The 17894-nt window shown below is 38.5% G+C and overlaps 1 protein-coding gene across 4 annotated transcripts in view, besides 1 other annotated feature; it reads left to right on the forward strand.

The window, feature by feature from the left end:
- DAAM1 (dishevelled associated activator of morphogenesis 1) overlaps positions 1-17894 on the forward strand; it is a 182739-nt gene that overhangs the window by 46378 nt on the left and 118467 nt on the right. The gene's annotated exons all lie outside the window — the stretch shown is intronic.
- Positions 5427-5506: a silencer, noted in NCBI's record as "silent region_5805". NCBI's record gives its function as "represses an Ori minimal core promoter by ATAC-STARR-seq in GM12878 lymphoblastoid cells {active_cell/tissue: GM12878}" and the evidence as "EXISTENCE:reporter gene assay evidence [ECO:0000049][PMID:35858748]".

The following is a 17894-nucleotide window of genomic DNA, read 5'->3' on the forward strand; positions in this document are numbered from 1 at the left end:
CAGTATTTTATTGAGGATTTTTGTCTCGATGTTCATCAGGGATATTGGCCTGAAGTTTTCTTTTTTTGTTGTGTCTTTGCCAGGTTTTGGTATCAGGATGATGTGGGCCTCATAGGATGAGTTAGGGAGGAGTCTCTCCTTTTGAGTTGTTTGGAATAGTTTCAGAAGGAATGGCACCACCTCATCTTTGTACCTCTGGTAGAATTCAGCTGTGAATCCATCTGGTCCTGAGCTTTTTTTGGTTGGTAGGCTATTAATTACTACCTCAATTTCAGAACTTGTTATTGGTCTATTCAGGGATTCGACTTCTTCCTAGTTTAGTCTTGGGAGGGTGTATGTGTCCAGGAATTTATCCATTTCTTCTAGGTTTTCTTGTTTATTTGCATAGAGGTGTTTATAGTATTCTCTAATGGTAGTTTGTATTTCTGTGGGATCAGTGGTGATATCCCCTTTATCATTTTTTATTGTGTGTATTTGATTTTTCTCTCTTCTTTATTAGTCTAGCTAGTGGTCTATCTATTTTTTAAATTTTTTCAAAAAACCAGCTCCTGGATTCATTGATTTTTTTGAAGGGTTTTTCATGTCTCTGTCTCCTTCAGTTTTGCTCTGATCTTAGTTATTTCTTGTTTTCTGCTAGTTTTTGAATTTCTTTGCTCTTGCTTCTCTAGTTCTTTTAATTGTGATGTTAGGGTGTTGATTTGAGATCTTTCTAGCTTTCTGATGTGGGCATTTAGTTACATAAATTTCCCTTTTAACACTGCTTTAGCTGTGTCCCAAAGATTCTGGTATGTGAATATATTGCATTTCATCCAAACCAGCCAATTGCTTTGAAAGAGTTATGGTGGAACACGCATGCAGCTGGTGCACAGAGGTGGAGCGGAGACAGACCTCACTTCGTCAAATGAATAGCTTGATATACTTAGGAAAATAGACTTGATATGCTTAATAATGGGAAATTCCCTTTCTTAAAAAAAATCCCATATTAAATGGTTACTCCATGGCTTTATAATGAGAAGAGCCCTAAATTTTGTTCCCCCCAACCCACTTTATTTACTTATTTATTCATTCATTTATTTATTTTTGGAGAATTGCCTCTTTAGTATGAAGTGTCATTAATAGTGTTCTTTCCTGAGCTGCTAGGCATTTGAATCTTCAGGTAATTTTTAGCAGATCAAAGGGAAGAAGTTGTAGTAGAATGACTAGTTTTCTATCTAGTAGGTGTTGTTTTGTTTTGTTTAATAACTAAGGACCTGAAGATGGGAAATCATTAGAATTATAATGCTCTCTGTTACTCATCACACATGGTCTGGCTCTTGCTAAGCCCTGTGACCTGGCTTCTTGCCTCTTCCTCTTGTCCACTGTGCTTCAAGTACATTCGCCGCCTTTTTGTTTTTGAGCATGCCTCACCTTTTCTCCCTTCAAGCATTTGCTCTCTGGCTGGAACACTCTTTTCTTAGATTTTTGCATGGCTGTCTTCTTGTCGTCGTTTAAATATTATTTTCAGTGCCATCTTCCCAGATGTTATCTTCATGACTTTGCATTTTCTAAAGAATCACTCTTCCTTTAGCATCTCTGGCCAAGCTCTCTAAATATCCTGTTTTATCCATCTGAAATTAGAGTGATTATCTTTGTCTGTCTCCTCTCACTAAACTGTGACCTCTGTGATGACTCAGGGTGGGTAACGCTCATCTGTCTGGTTCATTGCTGGGCCTCCAACACCTAGAACAGTGCCCAAAGGTGTTCAGTGTATGTTTGTAGAATAAATTAATTAATTTATTTGTAATATAAGTGGTTTTGAAAACTTTCCCAAACTTCTCTTGTTTCATGTACTTAATGGAGAGCAGGGATCAGCAATTTTTTTCTGTAAGGGGCTATGTAGTACACTTATTAGGCTTTGGGGGCTAAAAGATCTCTGAGACAACTACTCGGAAAGCAGCCACAGACAATATGTAAACAGGAGCCTAGCTGTTATCCAATAAAACTGTATTTACCAAAACTGTTGGTGAGGGGGCACTTAGCATTTAGCCCTTGGGCCGCAATTTGCACACCCCTAGCATAGAGTCAGTTTTAACCTACACGTGCTGGAATATATGTGGAAAGGGTGGATTGGAAGAGTGGTTGTCTTGATTACAAGCTCAGTTCATTTAGTTTTCAGCCAGGGAAATGTGAACATCTATTCTTGTTCTGTCAGAATAGAATGTATAGTGAAAACTATTTGTAGCATGATGGAGATAGAAACATTCCAAAAGAGAGACATCCCGCCAGGTGGTGGAATACATATTAGAGGCTGTTGAAAAATTAAATACTGATCAAGCACTTAAGTACTGCAGGATTGTGGAAATACCAAGAGAAATAGTTCTAAGAACTGAAAGTTGAAAAAGTGTATTTTGACCACCCCTGAGCAAGCTAAACAATATAGGATTGCATTTAGGCTAATGTGGAATAATTTACATAAGAAGTGAATTTAGAAAATGAAGTGATCTGACCTCATAGAGCATTTTGTCATATACTTTTTCTAATGAAGGAAGAATAAACTCAAGGATATTTACGCTATTGGGCCTACATTTGAAAACTTGAATTTATAAAATATTTTGTGCCAGGATTGATATAGGCCTTATTGCATCTAATAAGACACTACCACATGTCTGAGCTTTCCTGTTAGCCGAAAAAACTGCTAGTCCCTGGATCTTCTCCCTACTTTCCACAGCACTCACCAAAGCAGGAGCCAGTAGGTCAGTGGGAACAGTCTCTGGACTCACTTTTCCAGTGAGTCCCATATATTCCTTTGAAGCTCTTGGCATATTTTTAGATGATATATTCATAACTTGCTTCTCCTTCAAAATTAAATGTTCTATTTAGAATGGCTCTTGGGGATATAAATGATAATTTTGAAGAGCAGGATATTTGCTCCCTCAGATCTTTCCATCATTGAAGCCATTTAGAGAGCAATAGTAGAGGCACAAATGATTCAGGTTACTGTAATGGCTCAGGTCATGGTAAAATGAGTGTCTTGGATGCCTTTCCTCTGTGTTTTATGTTTTTTTAAAATGAGATGTCTTCATGACCTTGTAAATGAGAGAAAGTTCAAGGGGATCCGAGGTAAATGTCTGTCCCAGATCCACAGACAACTCAAGAATTTCTCAGGATGTTTCTCAGTAGAGATAGGGAGTGGCTGGTTGGCTTTGTGGCTTTTCAAATCCCTTGCCTTCCGCTCCACTAAGACCTAGCAGTCCTCTAAAGCCTCATTCATATTTCCCTCTTTTCAAAAAAAACGTCTGAGATCATCCTAATTGGAAGTGCCCTTATGTCCTCTGAACCCTTACGGTACTGAACACTCTTTTGTGGCATTTGTAGTTACTGCTCTGTACGGTGGCCTTGTTCATGAGTCTCTCCTCAGCTAGGTCGTCAGCTCCACAGTAACTGAAACTAAGTGTGATTTCTTTTGTTTCCCACCCTCTGGAGACAGTCCTGGATAGCATCAGTTCCTCCTTCTGTGTGTTCCCATAGCACTTGTACTTACTGTGATCAGGGGCAGTTCAGCCTCTTCTTATGTTCTTGATTTTTGAAAGGAACAGAGTATAGCTTATTCAATTTTGTATTCCTAACCCTTCACGTATAACCCCTGACATGTAGCGGCTTACTGACTGTTCAGATGAACAGAGTGAGTAAAGCTGTAACTGACCTAATGAAACACTATAATATTACTTCTGAATATTTTTTTTTGCGTCTCTAGACACCTCCTGGAAGTATAACATATTGTTCTTAAAACCATTAAATGTATCGCTGACACATGGTAATCATTTATTTCAAAGATAATTTGAATGGTATTCTTGCATCAGAGACTTTCAGAGAAGGAGCCTAAGGCTACCCTTTATTAGATAATTCTAAGATGGGCTGGCTGACAGGCAATGCAGAATATCGAAAAAAGGACAGCATGAATTTGTCCCTGCTCTGCTGCTTAGGAGTGGGTGACCCTATGCAGGTCACATAAGTGCTCAGATAGTTACTCAGCTGTAAAGTAGAAATAAAAGCAATATCTGATTGCCTGTGCCTCTCTCTTTTTCTCTCAGGGTTGTTGGGAAAATAAAATGATACTGTGCACACAAAAGTACTTAGAAACCCATAAATTACTTTATGAAGGTAATATACTATTATGCTGTTGTGAAACAGGGTAATGCCCTATGGTGCTAACACTTACTTTTTTTGTGGTTATATAAAATAAGTAATCCAACCTATAATTAGGACAATTGGCTGCTACCCAAATAGGGCCTCAAGTTCCACCTGTCACACCCAAATCTTGCAAAAAATGATTATAATGCTTAAACACAGTCTCCTTATTGTCACTCTAGTTTTTTTCTAGATGGAAAAAGAGAGAGGTGTAGCTAGTGAATTTTAAGTCAAGAGCAGAACACTCAGTTTTATTCACCACGCTCTTACCTAGTCCAGGTTCTCCATCGGTTTCTTCCTCCCCTGCCCCAACTAGCTTGATTCTTTTACCTGTGCCCTTTTTCTTTGACAAATTCAATGGTAGAATTTTTAGATTCTTGACATTTTCTTACGTTGTGTTTTGTCGTATGCTTCCCCACCGCGCCCCCACCCCGATCCTTGTTATATTCCTTCCCTACCACACAGTCTGTCTCTCTCAAATTCTGCTGTGGATGGAGTTGGACGTGAATGGCTAAAGTTTCAGATTGTGGCCATCTTTGAGAAAATGACAGGGCGGGGGCCAGGACGAGGAGTAATGTTATTTCTAAAAGCTCCCTGCTCAGCAACAATAATGACTTTTACATTCTAGCGACTTTTCTTTATCTTTTTAGCACCATACATACCGAAACTTGAATTACTTCCAAGCTCCAAGGAATGATTCCCTGATAGGCTTATTTAAGACTCCTGGAAAGTCAATCTGGCAAAATTTGTTTCCAAAATGGGAACCCTTTGAGAAAGGAGGTGTTACATTACTCATGTCAATTTGTGAACAGTAAAACCAATACAGTCTTCTGTAAAACAAGACATTTGTGTTTGGATTTATGGCTCGATTTTTCAGTTCACTGTTAATTTGATTCTTGGAAAATAATAATGCTGTAGCTTGAAAGATGTGAGATTGTGGCTAGAGGGGGGTATGGCTTGAGATGAGACAGGTAGGGTTTATGTCCTTGCTGACCGCCCCCAGTTCTATGGATTTTTATTATTACTTCATCTCTCGAGATCTTTCTTTATTGTAAAACTATGATATCTTCCTATCACGCATATACAAATTAGCTGAAATGATGCTTGCTGAAGGTCCCACATAGTCTCTGACCTTGGAGAGGTGCTCAGTAAATGTTAGTTCCCATCTCATTTAGTCAAGTGGACCATGAATCAGGGTTCTTCAAATCTTTATGGGACAGAAATCCCATTGGAATTGGCTTAAAGGGGAAAAAAGTTCATTGAATCACTCAATGGAAAGTTCAAGGGGTATTTGACTGAGGCCCAGTATATCTAGTAGTTAAATGATGTCATCAAAACCTCCTCACTCCCCATCTCCCTTGTCCCATCTCTCAGTTCTGCTTTTATCTATGCTGGCTTCATTTTGGGGTAGCTTCTGACACATGGTGGAAAAAGCAACTATTGTAAATTTCTGGTATTATATGGTGCTTATATGTCATGATTCCAGGCAAAAAAGAGGCACCCTCTCATCTGCGGCATCCAGCCACATAAAGATCTCTGGTCGTCTTTGTGTTGTGTGCCATCCCTAGATCAGTCACTGTCCAGGGGATGGAGTGACTTGATTGGCGAAGCCAATGCCATGTGTCCATCTCTGGATGGAGAGGCAGAACCATTTGGTTAACCACTTTACTGAATCACATGGTGAAGGAGATGGACTAGTTCCCATAGGTATGCGAAGTAGGCAAATAGGTAAGAGACATGTCCATTAGAGCTAGTGATCAGAGTTCCCAAAGACAGATACAGCTGGCTGTAATATTTTACTGTGTGTGTGTATATGTGTGTACATGCATATGTGCTTCAAAGATGTCTTCAGTATGTTATGGTTGTGTATTACTTTAATCTCAGTGTGCTTCTGCTGAGGCCTGTGGTGTACTGCAGGCGGAATGAGAACTTCCTGAAATCATATACTGCATTTTGTATGTATGTAGAGGAAAAACATTTTTTTGAGTTATTGTTATACAATATGTTCTCTCCAATAAAATTACTAGGGGATTTTTACTTTATAAAATTCTGCAAGGTCTGGCTTGTCTTCTGCAAAGTGTTGGGAAAACTTTAGAAAAGGTCCTTTCACAACTATTTTTGGAACATCAGCCATATGGTTCAGATACTTCCTATTTCTTCCAGTGGGACCTCTTTCCGAATTAAGTAGAGTGAAAAGGAAAACATTGGTTTTTGAGACTTGGCTAAAATTATCTGTGTTTTTTAAAGTTTGAACTAATTACTTTGTGGGAGCTTTTGTGTTTGTAGTTGATAGCTTACCAGTTGTGGTGCATGCTAGTATAAACAAAGGGTAGAAGAAACTAGCTGTTTACATATTTCTTGTTATTTCTTCTGCATGAGGAACTTCTATTGTGTACTGCCATTTTGCTCCTTAATTCTGCTCTACTGCACCCAATTCAAACATCGGAAGCAGAAGGAAGAGCTTCCCTGTGTCTTCTAATTATATTATTTAACTTATCAAAGATCAAATTGGTTTACTCAGCACTGGATAGAAACAATTGGGCTATGACACTCTTTTTAAGAGGGATAAATCATGTGACCTTCGTTCTAGACTTGGGAGTTACGTGTAGACTTTTATACTAATCCTAGATCCGGGGCTTATTTCTTCTGGCTTTCTTAAATCACAAACTGTCTCTCTCTCTCTCTCTTTTTTTTCCCCCTCTTCCTCAAAATTTGTTGTTACCTATACAAGGATATGATGCTGTAAGGATTAAATTGCTCAAATCAAGGCAGGAACAATGTGCTTCTAAAATGGATTATCTTTTATTTCATTAGGTGTTAAAACTGGAAGAGACCTTGAAGATTCTCATCCTGCCTCTTTAAGGATAAACAGGTTCAAACAGGCTATGTATCTTAACTAAAGTCACAGAGCTACTAAGAGGAACAGAGTTGGGACTAGAGCCTAGGTTTTCCTTTAGACTAGTAATATTTTTTTCCAGCTATCCCACATTTTCTCAGGAAAAAATTTAACAAATTATCCCAAAAGCTTTATTTTCTTTATGATAGATCTCAAATATAATCTCTCTAAAGGCAAGAACCAAATTGGTCTTTTCCATTATTATATGCCTAGTAGCAGTGTTAGAAGCAGCAGCAGGGGTAGAATAATAATAATAGTAACAACAACAACAACAGACATGGGCACATGTCACAACCAGAGATGGGCACATAGCATTGGCTTTGCCAATCAAGTCACTCCATCCCCTGGACAGTGACTGATCTCTTATAGAAGAGCTTACTATGGCCAGACATTATTATTTGTACTTTACAGATATTTATTTAATCTGAACAAAAACGCTGTGTGCTGGGTACTATTATTATTATTCTTTGAGACAGAGTCTCGCTCTATCCCCCAGGCTGGAGTGCAGTGGCGTGATCTCGGCTCACTGCAAGCTCTGCCTCCCGGGTTCACGCCATTCTCCTGCCTAAGCCTCCTGAGTAGCTGGGACTACAGGCACCCGCCACCACGCCTGGCTAATTTTTTGTATTTTTAGTAGAAACAGGGTTTCACCGTGTTAGCCAGGATGGTCTCGATCTCTTGACCTCGTGATCTGCCTCGGCCTCCCAAAGTGCTGGGATTACAGGTGTGAGCCACCGTGCCCAGCCGCTGGGTACTATTATTATTTTCATTTTACAGATGAGAAAATTGGGCTGCCAGAATATAGAGCCTAGAAATATATGTAGAAGGTACTCAGTAAATATTTGATGAAAGAACGAATCCTTGAAGTTCAAAGCACTTTCATATTCATTATATAATGTGATGACAATAAGGGATGGTATTTTTCTGAGGACACCGCAGCTCAGAGATTTTAAGGAGACTCACCAAAGTTAGGGGGATAGTTAGTGGTAGGGCTGGGAACTACTTTGATCCTGGGCTGTGACCTTGTTAGTGTCATCGGTGGATTCCTATAAAAGCACATCCAAAAGGTAAGTGGCTAGGGAAATTCAGAGTCCAGGCAGTATCTGGTTTTGTATTTACCGACAGATCAGCCATTCCAGCTTTCTTCACTGCTTTGTGTAGGTCCAGATTTCTGTTTGGTCTCAATTTCTTTCTGCCTGAAGAACTTTCTTTAAAGAGTGTTGGACTTTGTTCTGGTGCACAGATCCTTTTTAGACTGCCTTTAAGCTTTTTCTAGAGCAGCCTGAGTCTAGGACCCTTTTGAATACTCTTCCTGATGTTTATGTATTACAAGGTTCTTCTACTCAGGCTGGTGGAAATGCCAGTCATTTCCAGCCCTGAGTGAGCCCCACATCCATGTGCAGATCAGTACTCAGCCTATAATTTGAGGTGACTCCTTTACAGATATCAAGAGCTATGGCTGCCTCTGATTCTCTGAACTTTTATCTCTGATCCCTCAATTCAACAAGACCCTTGAACTTGGTTTGGATTTCCTCTTTCTGCACAACAGCCTGGAGTAAGGGCAATCCTAGGGTTTGCCTTACTGGATGTTTCCTTTCTCTCAGCAATCACTGGTCTGTAGTACCTTTGTCCAGTGACTGAATACAGCTGTTTCATATATTTTGCCTGTTTATTAATTATTTGTAGTGGGAGAACAATTCCTATAGTAGTTAGTCCTTCATGGAATGGAAGTGGAAATCTGGCATCTTGTTTGAAGTTCCAAACATTAGCATCCCAGGGATACCTGTATGTCCCTGTTTCTCAAGAGCACAGATATCACCCTCTGCTTCCTTTTACTTCTTTCTATTTGATGCTCCCTATTTAAGGGAACATGGAAGTTACTGGTAGACTAAATTGCTATTTGATATGGTTTGGCTGTGTCCCCACTCAAATGTCATCTTGAATTGTAGCTCCCATAGTTCCCATGTGTTGGGGGAGGGTCCCAGTGGGAGATAATTGAATCATGGGGGTGATTTCCGCTTTCACTTGGCTCTCTAATTCTCTCTTGCCCGCCACCATGTAAGACATGCCTTTCATCTTCTGCCATGATTGTGAGGCCTCCCCAGCTATGTGGCACTGTGAGTCCACTAAACCTATTTTTTTTTTTTTAATAAATTGCCCAGTCTTGGTTATGTCTTTATCAGCAGCCAGAAAACAGACTAGTACACTATTTGAAGCAAGCAGAATATTCACTCTTGCTTGTTGAAGATGAGATGGAAAAACAGACCACCCCCTCTACAACATACACTCACTCCCATGCTGTTTCTTTTCTCACATAGCTCCTGGAATGCTGAGATGGCTTGAGAAGCCGGGGGTGTATGTGGATGTGAACTGATTATAAGCTCTGTGAGGGCAAAGCACACATCTCTTTTGTTCATCCTTATATACCAAGAATGAACAGGGGAGTGGACACCACTGCCTTCTTGAATGAATGAATGGAAATATACAAATTAGTACACACATGCAGAATTGTGAATCTGGGAGTGTGTGTTGGGGGCAGGGAGAGATTCTTAACTGCCTGTCAATTGTACCTTTTTGAGGAAAAACCAGTTTGACAGCTGTGTGAATGTGTACGTGTGGTGTGTGTGTGTATTTAGGTTGGTGAAGTATCTGGCATCACTGTCCTGGTTGCTTTTCCAGTATGAGCAAGTGCAGTTGTTAACAGCATGTTTTTCCACAAAGGGACTGGCTTTTACGTGACACTACCCAGTGAGGTGGGGCAGTGTTTTTAAGAGGAGTATCCATAAAGGCTAGTAGCCAGGTTAGCAAGAACATTTGTCACAGCTCTGCTTGCTGGTGATGAGTAGGAGGAGAACCAGTGAAGACTGGCTGTCCTGGTTGATAATTTTTGTGGAATGGAAAGTGGCACCTGTAAGATAACTGATGATCTCAGGGAAGGGAAAAGGACGGGGGGGCCAGGGGAAAGGTGATGTATGTAGAAATCATGAAATGAATGTATAGGAGTTAAGCATTTTTTCTACTGTGTCTTCACGTGGATCAAATGCATCCTTCAAATGCAAAGACTAATTTTCCTCCCTTTGTTATTTTGGGGTCTCTTTTGATGTCATACCACCTCTTATTTTGGCATTAACTTTCATGTCCTTTGCCTTTATCATTTGTGATCAGCTGCTGTGTTTCCATTTGGTGCCCTTTTGTAATTTATACTTTCAATACTGTATTGCTTGCTTGTTTAAGTTTGGGTCAGAAGCCATGAATGTGACAGGATACAATGTATTGCTATTTCAGTAGCTTTAGAATCTTCCTTTAAGTAGCAGGACCTTGAGATTACCAAGTGAATTTATTCCTGTGGAGTCAAACTTTCTAATAAATATCCAACAAAATATTACCTAATTAGACACTTTTAGTCTTTTATATAATATTCCTAGGGCCACCACCCAGCAAGTAGATGTTCTAAAGATAAGGATAGTAATATCTACTTCTGTAGCAAAAAAAATACAATGGATTTAAGAAAATTCTAAATTATACCATTTAGGTGAAAGTGAGCACCTGGCATTCTGTCACTAAGCAATGAATTGGGGTGACATTAATGTACAGAATTGTCTCTAGTGAATGGTTTGGTAGCTTTTCCCCCATCGCCCCATTGTAAATTGATGACAAATTTAAAAGAAGAAAGTCATTGCTCATATTAGTGTTGTACAGTTGAACAGATTGTTTTCATTTTGAGGACTAACAATTGTAGAGTTGAGTGTAGTAAAGTGGAAAATTGCAGAAATGAAAGCATTCTATAAACCATTCTTTAATTACTTTCAGAGCATAGCTATTCATTGACAGTGGCCTGTGTTTCTAGAAAGACAAAATGAGACGCTGAAGAACTCATTGCTTATCTCTGATTAATTGAGATAATTAATGGACTTAAAGTGCATTGAAAGTGCCTAGCATGTTGAAGAGGGTTGATAAATTAAAGTTATTTAAATTATTTTTCAAATTTACCATTTAGCCATTTTTCTGTGTACAGTTCAAAGCATATTCACATTGTTGTGAAACATACCTTGAGAATTTTTCATCTTGCAAAACTGAAACTCCATACCCACTAAACAAAAATTCCCCATTTCCTGCTCCCCTGTCCCCTGGTAACCACCACTCTACTTTGTTTCTGTGTATTTGAGTACTTTAGATACCTCATATAAATGGAATCATACGGTATTTGTCTTTTTGTGTCTGGCTTATTTCACTCAGCATAATGTCTTCAACATTTACCCATGTAGCATGTGACAAGTTTTCCTTCCTTTTTAAGGCTGAATAATATCCCATTGTATGTATATACCACATTTTATTTATTTATCTATTGATGACATTTGGGTTCCTTCCACCTCTCTGCTATTGTGAATAATGCTGTGATAAACATGGGCATGCAAATATCTGTTCAAAACCCTGCTTTTAATTCTTTTGGATATATTCCCAGAAGTATGGTTGCTGGAGCATGCAGAATTATATTATTAATTTTTTGAGAAACCACCATACTGTTTTCCATAATGGTTGTTCCACTTCATAATCCCAGCAACTGTACAGGGTTCCAGTTTCTCCACATCCTTGCCAACGCTTGTTATTTTCTGGTTTTTTGTTTTGATAGTAGTCATCTTAATGGATGTGAGAAGATATATTATTGTGGTTTTGACTTGCGTTGCTCTAATGATTAGTAATGCTGAGTGTCTTTTTATACGCATGTTGGTCATTTGTATGTCATCTTTGGAGAAATGTCTAGTCAAGTCCTTTGCTCATTTTTTAATGGAGTTATTTGGTTTTTTGTTGTTGGATTGTAGGGGTTCTGGATATTAATTCCTTAGCAGAAATAATTTTCAAATCCAATGTCATAAAATTTTTATGTATATTTTCTTTCATAAGTTTTATAGTTTGGGGTCTTATGTTTAAGTCTTTAATCCATTTTAAGTTAATTTTTATGTATGATGTAAGATAAGGGTCCAGCCTCATTCTTTTGCATGCAGATATTCAGGTTTCCCAGCACCATTTGTCGAAGAGACCCCTTTCGCCATTAAATGGTCTAGTCTCCCTTGTCAAAGATCATTTAATCATATATTTGAGAGTTTGTTTCTGGGCTCTCTGTTCTATTCCATTGGTCTCTATGTCTGTCTTTATGCTAGTACCATGCTGTTTTGATTACTGTACTTTTGTACTGTTTTGAAATCAGAAAGTACAAGACCTCCAGCTTTGTTCTTCTTTTTCAAGATTGTTTTGGCTATTCAAAATCCTTGAGATTCCATATGCCTTCCTGGATGGATTTTTCTGTTTCTGCCAAAGATGCCGTTGGGATTTTGATAGGGATTGCTTTCAATCTGTAGATTGCTTTAGATAGTGTTGTCATCGTAACAATATTGTCTTCCAGTCTATGAATATGGGATGTTATTTGTATCTTCTTTAATTACTTTCAGAAATGTTTTTTAGTTTTCAGTGTACAAGCTTTTCACCTTCTTGGTTGAAAGTTAATTTAATTTTTAAAAAGACTAGTTTTACAAACAAATAATAGCTAAACCACTCTAAACTTTCAGCGACAGGTTGATAATTAAGGAGAAAAAATGTAATCCAAGCTCATGTTAAAAAAAAAAAACAAGGAATTACAATGAAAGCAATTTCCATTTCCTTCTCTAGAAGGAGCCACTCTTAATGGGTTTTGGTATCTTATTTTATCACATGCTCAATAATTTCTTTGCATGTTTAAACAAGTATATCCATTTTACATTTATCATATACCATGTTGTGCAACTTGGATGGTTATTTAATATTGTTACTCCTTTAACATACCAGAAAAGATTTTTTAATTGAGTGTACCCTAAATCATTTAAGCAGTACTGTATTGAAAGCTTCCCGTATTTAGCCACTGATGACTTTTGCCTGTTTAACAATATTCCTCAGAATCTGAAGTCTAAATATTAACTTCTGTCCAAATACTCTGGCTTGGTAAGTGAGTAGGAGTAATAATTTAAAATAGAACTTTCCATGTTATTTCACTTAGAAAAAATTTTGCAAGAGAGGCAGTCTCTTTAGTGTTTAGTTGTCTTGAATTATCCAATAAAGCAATTAGTGTTCACACCTAATTATTTAGAAAATTACAGAGTTGGGTGGAGAGGACATGTTGGGTAGTATCAGCTTCCTTCACATTTCCCTCTTGATGACTGTGGAATGATGTTTTGTTTTGTTTTGTTTTGTTTTGTTTTGTTTTGTTTTGTTTTGTTTGACTCAGGCTTAAGTAAAGAGTGTAGTAATCCACTTACAGTAATTAAAATTCAGTAAAGATCTTTCTTTGCTTATTGTTTGTCTCCTGCAGCTTCAGAAGTGTTTGTTTAGCTATGTGAATAACTTCCCAAGGATATTTAGCACATGGAGAGGAATCCCCAGTGAGAAAACACACTCTTTCTTGCCGCCGCTGGTAATTTCTGTTTTGGTTGATGATTAGCTTTGTTTAATGAAAAGAGATTATATATGTGACCAGTTTACACACTCAACACATGTGCTTTTGTGTTCTTGGCTGCTAGTCTTATAATTTCCTCTACCCCTTCTCCATCCTCAAGGTCTGTGCATTATTTTTATTTTGTATAGGGCAAGCAGGTTTAAAGTGCAGATTAAAAGGAAACTCCTTTGTTTTCCTGAGAGTCCATCCCTCATTTTTTTGTTTTGTTTTGAGATGGAGTCTCGCTCTGTCGCCCAGGCTGGAGTGCAGTGGTGCGATCTCGGCTCACTGCAACTTCCGCCTGCCTCCCGGGTTCACGCCATTCTCCTGCCTCAGCCTCCCAAGTAGCTGGGACTACAGGCGCCCACCACCACGCCCGGCTAATTTTTTGTATTTTTGGTAGAGACGGGGTTTCACCGTGTTAGCCAGGATGGTCTCGATCTCCTGACCTCGTGATCCGTCTGCCTCGGCCTCCGAAAGTGCTGGGATTACAGGCGTGAGCCACCGCGCCTGGCCCATCCCTCAGTTTTGTACTTCTTCAAGGCTCTACTTTTGTGTGGCTTCCTCTTACCTGGAAATGACATCATTACCCAGTTCTTCCTAGGTCATTCTGGAAGTCACTTGTAATTCAATTGCCAAAGGAGCCTATTAACACAGCAGAACAAATTCCTGGCATCTTAGGTATTTTCCCAAAGCTTCATAGGCATGTTCCATTGGCATCCTTGTCCTGGGAGCCCTGTGTACTTATGTTCTAGAAGTCTGTAACAATTTCAGAAAAATCCATTGTTCTTTTCCAGTGGATATTTGCTTCCAAAATAATGGCAATTTTATTTCACTGGGACAGATACCACGAAACTGCTAATCATTTTGCTGTTCTCAAAATCATTGACTTCCTTTTCAGCTGTCTGTAATGAATATTAAGTGGCCATATTTGAGGGAATTAGGTTGCAACTAAGTAAACTTGGGAAGTGTATTCAGGAAGTAATTAGAGTTCTTATAGGACTATTGTTAGCATTCAGACCTCAATTTCATAATATTTCTTGATAAAAATCATAACTTCATTCTCATTCTCAAGACCATCTCTTTCCCCTTGTAAATTCAGTCACCATTTTTCATTTTATTCCATAAACAGTGTGATGACTTTTTTATTCACTGATAAGGAGGACCCCAAACATTTTACCCTTTAAAGATAGAACTTCAGGAGCATGTACTTGAGAAAATTACTGGAAACCAGCTTTAAAATTGCTGCAGCCACACATTCAGTGTCTTAAGTAGGATAAAATGTGGCTTATATGCACTTTTTTTTACAGTACCTGGAAGTAGAGGAGAGTTTTGGAAATTATATTGAATTCAGTCTTACAAAAATATAAACTTTAAATATATTTGATTGCATCTTTAAAATGTACCAAGTAGTAAGTTTCATTCATTTATGAACATACTAAAATCTCTTGTTCTTGGGTATATTTGTGATACCCCTATGATTTCTGATCCACAATAGAACTATAATTGAAACAAAGTCCAATAAAAGAAAAAATTAGTAGAACTCCCCATGTTCTCTTCTAACTGGCCCTGAGACCGTTTGAAGAACTTCTGACATAACGGCTTTAGTGAACTACAGAGTCTCTTAAAATTACATCTGGGAACATACAGAATTTAAAACAAAACAAATCATTGTTTAAAAGTTTGTCCCATTGTTATCCCTGTAGCTGGTCCCTGCAACCTTGGGAACATTCTTCCTCTCTGTATTTCATGAAGTTTGCATCTAACATTACATTGAAGTTTTTAAATTTGTTGGCTAACATAGAAAAACTTTTAAATGGACTATTTTTGTGGATGTACAAATGAGTAAAATACTGACAGTGAAACCGTCTGCATTTATGGGCATGGGTTTCAAGTATGCACAAAAAGCAAGCTGTAATTTTAAATGAAAGAGGCAATATAACAACTAAGGAGTTATTGAGGTGTATACTTAGAGTTTTAATGGGGTTATTGAGAAGGCTTGCAAACATCCTTTTTTCAGTAGGATACTGTCACCTGCATCATGCACTCAGGAGAGTTCATTAGCCACTTGAAAATCCATATAGATTCCACAGAGACAAACTTAGGTACATATGGAAATAATAGTTAACATTTATTGAGCATCTTGTGCGTGCTAAGCACTTGGTTAAATACCTCAGCTGTCTTTCAGTTAATACTTGAAACAATTCTGGAAGTATATGCATCCCGTATATAGGTAGGTACATACATATTGCTACAAATACAGTTTTTAAACATAATGGTGCTACATGTATATTGTTATAAACCTTTCTTTCTTCTCTGTCTTTTATTCTGAATATGTTCATTTTTTTCATGTCAGTCCCATGGACCTAGTACTTTCTTTGTAACCCTGGGCATAGGGTTCTTTAGCACTATTTCTCAAACTTTGCTGCACATTGGAATCACCTATGGGGCTTGGAAAAATACCCATGCCTGGGCCCCAACACCAGAGATTCCGATTTTATTGGTGTGTGGTACAGCATTGTTACTGAAGTATGAGACAACATTTATTAAAACATTCCCCTACTAAAAGACACATGATTCTCTATTACAAGTTAGGAAACCTGTTTTCTATTTCACAGTCATAATGAACACCTTTGTTGATACATCTTGGTGCCTGTGTATGAATGTATCTGCAGGTCAAATTCTTAGATATGCAATCTAGAAAGTGTAAGATGTGGATCAAAGGGCCCGTGCATTAAAATAATAACAGACACTGTCAGATTGCCTTCCACTGAGGTGGTGCAATTGACTTTCCCATCCACAGGTTAGGAGATTGCCCATTGTGGGGCTGAGGTTCTTCCCTCAGTCATCTTTCACTCCGCCGTGTTTTTTTTTTTTTTTCCTTTAAGTTTGTTGTATTTTTAGAGGATCGTATATCTAAATGCTTATGAAAGTTCTCAACATGAAGGGAGGTCGGGCAAGTTCTGAGTCAAGGCGTTATTTCTCTAAGTCTTTTTAATGTCATGTCTTTGGAAGTTTTATAGCTGACATACCAACTTAATGCCTTTAATCATCAGAGAAGATGTGTAGCAATACCTCCTAGAGCCACACAGCACCTGAAACAGGACAGTGTTAGAGGCGACTGTCCTCTCTACTGCCTTATTTCTATACTTCATCTTGCATACAGTTGAAGCGTTCATCATCTTTCCATATGCCTCTTTTGAACATCCATTATGTAAAATTTGTAAGTAGAATCTTTACAAAGGGCAGGGTGCTGCTTTTGAAGGGAGTTCCAGTTTTTATAATGTGATTCTGTCATTGTTTCTGGGTGGCTTCTCCTTGCTGCATCATCAGCAGGACGCATTAAGAAAAGCTGGAGCCGAGGTGTGGTGTAGTGCTGGCCATGATGCAAAGCTCAGCGTGCTGCCCCAAATGAGTCCCTCTGAGCAGCAGGCATTGTGGAGAGACTCAAGCTCTAATTAACAGCTTGCCACACTGTAATTTTCAACTCAGGACTCACCATATACTTAGCTCTCTCTAAACATTTTTTTACATTTGTAATGGCAAACTGTGGCAGTGTCCACATGTGTTCAGAATGATCTTTCTGAGGAAAAAGTGTGAAAGCCAGCGGCCCTGGGTGCTTATATCTTGAGGGTTTGCAGTAGATTTTCCATCTTGGTAATCAGTTCACAACCACTTCTTGGCCAGAGAAGATAACCTTCAGACTTAGAAAGCAAAAGGATAAGTAGATGTGATCAGTGACTGAGGATATCAAGGGGAATCATATCAGTATTACAAATGTCAGTGTCCTTGCAGTAACTAAATTTGGTATGCAAATATCAGAGTTTTTGTACAGTTGTTTGGATTGGAATATTAAACCTGCTGAATTCTTCAAAATATACAGGAAAGCTTTTTTAAAAAAATGCCTTTTCCCGTCCTGCTCCAGAAACCCTCAGAGAATTTCCCACAATTTGCAGATAAGCTGACCAACCTGCAGAGCCCTTGATTTAGTGATGACAACTGCCCTATAGAGATTAAACCAGTCTCATGCCAGGAATTTACTCTGCTGATACACACAGGAATGTCAGAGAAAGGAATCTGGTTAACATATTTCCACCAAACAGTGGTTAACATATTTCCACCAAACAGTAGTTAACAAATAAATCCTCACCCCCAACTTTTTAATGTAGTTCCCACTTCCCTTTATAGTGTCCACTCAAAAGCCATCAAACATTTCTTGAGTACTTCAGGGTGCTAGATGGTATGAGGAGACAGAGCATCTCATTTAACCTTTAGACTATGCCTGTGAACAGTTTCTCCCTGGGCTAAGAAGCAATCTTCCCCTTGGTGTGAAACATGAATTGGCATGTTTCTTTTAATTAGTACAGC

The sequence above is a fragment of the Homo sapiens genome, chromosome 14, assembly GCF_000001405.40.
Source record: "Homo sapiens chromosome 14, GRCh38.p14 Primary Assembly".
Lineage (NCBI taxonomy): Eukaryota > Metazoa > Chordata > Mammalia > Primates > Hominidae > Homo > Homo sapiens.